Raw genomic sequence first — 4,719 nt, forward strand, 5'->3', positions numbered from 1 at the left:
TGATTCCATTATATGACATTCTCAAAAGATAAAACTATAGGGATAGAAAATAGATCGGTGATTGCCAGTGCTTGGTGGCATAAGGGAGGCTTTGATAAAGAGGCAGCATGTGGGAATTTTTTTAGGGTGATAGAAATGTATCTTATTGTGGTGATCGTTATATATATGTCTTAGAATTTATAGAAATGTGCACCACAAAAAGGTCAATTTTACTGTATGATAATTATAAAAACAAAAGAAAATAGAAAAAAGTGTGAGACAAAAAATATTAATTTACCTCAGAAACTAAATGAGCTTTTCCCATTGTATGGAGCTGAGGATTTATGAAAATTGCTTTCTTCCATATGCAGCCAGGCATGAAGCTGACTTGTGCCTCCATTGCCTGGAAGAATCCATCGGGGAAATGGTGGTAATAGAAGATGCGACTCTGTTTGCTGGATTTAGTTGCCATTACTGCAAGGGCACAGAGGGCTTCATGTAGTTGCAGACAGAAACTATAATGGAAATATTACTTAACAAGGTATCACTTTATATTTCTTCTTTCTTTTTTTTTTCTTTTTTTGAGATGCAGTCTCGCTCTGTCGCCCAGGCTGGGGTGCAGTGGCACAGTCGAAGCTCACTGCAACCTCTGCCTCCCGGTTCAAGTGATTCTCCTGCCTCAGCCTCCTGAGTAGCTGGGATTACAGGCATGTGTCACCACGCCCGGATAATTTTTGTGTTTTTAGTAGAGATGGAGTTTCACCATGTTGGTCAGGATGGTCTCGAACTCCTGACCTCATGATTGGCCCACCTCAGCCTCCCAGAGTGCTGGGATTACAGGCGTGAGCCACCGCGCTCGGCCACTTTATATTTCTTTGAATATAATATCCCAAGTAAGAATTTGGGATTGTGGACCGGGCATGGTGGCTCACGCCTGTAATCCCAGCTACTTGGGAGGCTGAGGCAGGAGAATCGCTTGAACCTGGGAGATGGAGGTTGCTGTGAGCCAAGATAGCGCCACTGCACTCCTCCAGCCTGGGCCACAGAGTGAGACTCGGTCTCAAAACAAAACAAAACAAAACAGAATTTGAGATTGTGTTTAAATATAGTAAGTACATTTGATAATCAACTGCATGGCAGTCAAATCTTAAATTCTAAAACCACTACATCTCTGAGTCAAAAAGTTGTATTTGTGGTAGTAGTCTAAAAGAAAAATTCTCACCAACAACACCTCAGGGCATTGTAAAAAGTGTTGCTGATTCTTTTCATTAGGGTGGTAATTGCTAATTAAAGCCTAATGTATAGTGGGGCTATAAGGGCTTTTTTTCCCTCCATGTTGGAAATAAGCAACTTCCCACATCAGAACGGGCAATGGAAACAACCAGAAGCCGCATGGAGATCTGGCACGGGGGCCAGCGAGGGCAGAACGGGAGTCAGCATTGCGCTCATGGCTCTCCGAGAGGGTCTTGGCGGTGGAGCACCCTGAGGAAATGGGAGAGTTACCCATGAGGCCTGGTACACCAGCATTTCCTCTACCTTTCCTATATGCCAGGGGATTTACGAAAGATTTTTTTTTTATAGGAACAAATAGACTATTTATATCCCCAACAATCACCTTTTTTTTTTAAGACAGAATCTCAAAGTCAGTTTTCAGAAAGTATGTGAGGATTTATTGCGTTCCAGGTAAAAGCAGCTGCCCATTATACGAAATCTTTTTTTTTTTTTTTTTTGAGACAGAGTCTCACTCTGTTGCCCAGGCTGGAGTGCAGTGGTGCGATCTCGGCTCACTGCAACCTCCACCTCCTAGGTTCAAGCGATTCTCCTGCCTCAGCCTCCCGAGTAGCTGGGATTACAGGAGTGCACCACCACGCCCAGCTAATATTTTTGTATTTTTAGTAGAGATGGGGTTTCACCATGTTCGTCAGGCTGGTGGTCTCCAACTCCAGATCTCAATGATCCGCCCACCTCGGCCTCCTGAAGTGCTGGGATTACAGGTGTGAGCCACACCGTGCCTGGTGCAACAATCACCTTTGACACTTCATATTATAGCAGAGAATGTCTTTCCTCTTGATTATTCAAGAAAAAATATATAAATGTATACATTCATTTCTATACAATTATGAGCTAAACAATACTGAATATATCTTATTAGATTTAAATAAAATTTAAGTAACAATTTTATTTCATCATTTCTAATAGTACGAGTTAAATAGATACTATGAGTAGAATTTGTTGTATGGATAAATGGAAGTAAGCATGGATATGTTTGTATATAATAAAATACAGTCAGCATGAATTTTATCCAATTTTTAAATAAACATAGAGTTATAAATTAAAATTAACCAGCCATACCAACCCATTTGAATCTATAGTTTCCTACAAGGGAATGAAAGGCAAAGTAATAGCGAGCCTCCAAATGTTTTAGTCACGCAGTGTAGAGCATCCACAAATCATCTCACCCCTCTGTCGGGGGGCGCTGTGGGGCGCCCCAGCTTCACTAGTAGTGCTTCTCTGAACTCATGCCTGCACCTTTTCTGCTGGAAGCCTGAACAATGATGCAGAGATACTGTTTTCTTTGTTGTAGAAAACAGCAGAAGGTCTGTGCTCACGAGGGCAATATTAGGTCCTCATCAGCTGTGGCTTGCTATCTCCAGCACATCAATGAATGGAGAAAATAAGATTTAAACAAAGATCAGTGTCTCCATTCTCTAACATTTTACTCAAAATATTGGTTAGGTTAGACTCCACACCCACCAAAACCCAAAACACATTCCGTCTCACAGATGCTCTACATTCTTTCAATACAGAAACCTTACGACAAAGCCTACAACATACACTTGTTTTGGTAAAATAATTGGTCCAGTTAGTAAAAAATGAGTTGAATTAGTGTTCTCCCTCTCACATATTATAACTTTTTTCAATTACAGAGATGTTTACAGAATTTATCTGAGGTGCTTTCTGTGTATCTCTGAAAACACCTTCGTAATAGTAGGCACACCCTGGTTAGTGGTTCTCGGCCCTGGCTGCTCACTGGCATCACCAGGAGAGCTCTGGACATACTGAGGCCTGAGCCCTTCCCCCAGACACTAATTTAATGGGACTGTGGTGGGGCCTGGGCATGGATGTTTTTAGAAGCATCTGCTGATAGATAAGCAATAAATACGAGTTTATTAACTACACATGGTGATTTGATTTCCTTGGATTCTTCCCTGATTTTCTGATCCATTGGCCCGTATATGAACAGGCTAACTTCTAGTGTGTGAAAAGACTGACAGGATATTAACCTGGCTAAGTGTCTTTGAAAATATAAACGGAGGGACCATGCCTGAAAAGAGTTATGAAAAAAAAAAAAAAAAAACAGAAAATATGCACCTGAGAGGGGCGCAAAGGAAGCAGGCGAATGTGGGGTCTTGGAGAAGTCACTCCTGATCTTGAGTTTCTATGAGTACACATTAAAGGAAGTCATTGCAGTTTTCTATGTACTGTGCATTTGGATATTTTCACAAACCGAAACAATAATTCGCTGTTTCGGGAAGGGGAACAGATAATGTGTTCTAACGTAGCATCTTTACTTTCTCTATTATTAGAAACATTTTAAAAATCTATCTTTCTTTGGCTTGGCATGGTGGCTCACAGCTGTAATCCAGCACTTTGGGAGGCTGAGACTGGCAGATTGCTTGAGGTCAGGAATTTGAGACCAGCCTAGCCAATATAGTGAAACCCTGTCTCTAGTAAAAGTACGAAAAACATTAGCCGGGCGTGGTGGCGCATGCCTGTAGTCCCAGCTGCTTGGGATGCTGAGTCAGGAGAATCGCTTGAACCCCAGAGGCAGAAGTTGCAATGAGCCAAGATCATGCCATTGCACTCCAGACTGAGAGATAGAGCGAGACCCCATATAAAAAGAAAAAGAAAAAAATTATCTTTTTTTGGAGTTTGTCAAATGTATTACCACTTTGATTATTATTAGTGAAACTTGGTGAGTTATATCAAATGATCAGTGATAGGAGATAATATCTACAAGATTTAATGATTGACTATAGGGAAGGAGAAGAGAAAGGAATAGATTTCTAAGTCAAATTCCATTGATAATGATGAGAATCATAGGGGGAGGAGTCAATGGGTAGGAGAAAAAATATTTGGTTTAGGACATGCTGAATGTGAGGAGCCTGTGATAAAGGATAGGATAATATGAAAAGCTTCCAAAAGGAGTACACCAGATTATGAGATCTACCTTTTCCCCAAACTAATAAAGGGAAAAAATATTAACTCCATTGTTAATTCTCCATTGATCCTGATGAAACGTCAGTACTGCTGATGAGATGTAAAAATAAAAAGCAGCAAGACTAAAGTTCTCCAAGATTCCTCTAGGATATGTTTGGTGTCTGCATTTGCATTTACTGTTATTTAATCTACGTTATTCAAGATGCTTTCTATTTAGAACCCCAAAACAAATGGTTGAATGGGCTTGCTCTGACTATCTATTTCCACAGAACAACCACCCAAAATTTAGTGGCTTAAAAAATGACAGCATTTATTTTGTTTATGAATATGCAATAACTCCGCATGGTTTGGGGATGGCTCAAAGACCAGGGGCGAGGATCATCTGCAGGCTCATCCACTCACACATCTAGTGGTTGATACTAGCTGTTGGATTTCCATGTGGCTCTTCAGCTTCCTCTCAGCATAGTAGATGGATCCAATGGTGAGTGTACCAGGAGAGCAGAAGGGAGCCAGGCATAG

Source organism: Homo sapiens, chromosome 9, assembly GCF_000001405.40.
Source record: "Homo sapiens chromosome 9, GRCh38.p14 Primary Assembly".
Lineage (NCBI taxonomy): Eukaryota > Metazoa > Chordata > Mammalia > Primates > Hominidae > Homo > Homo sapiens.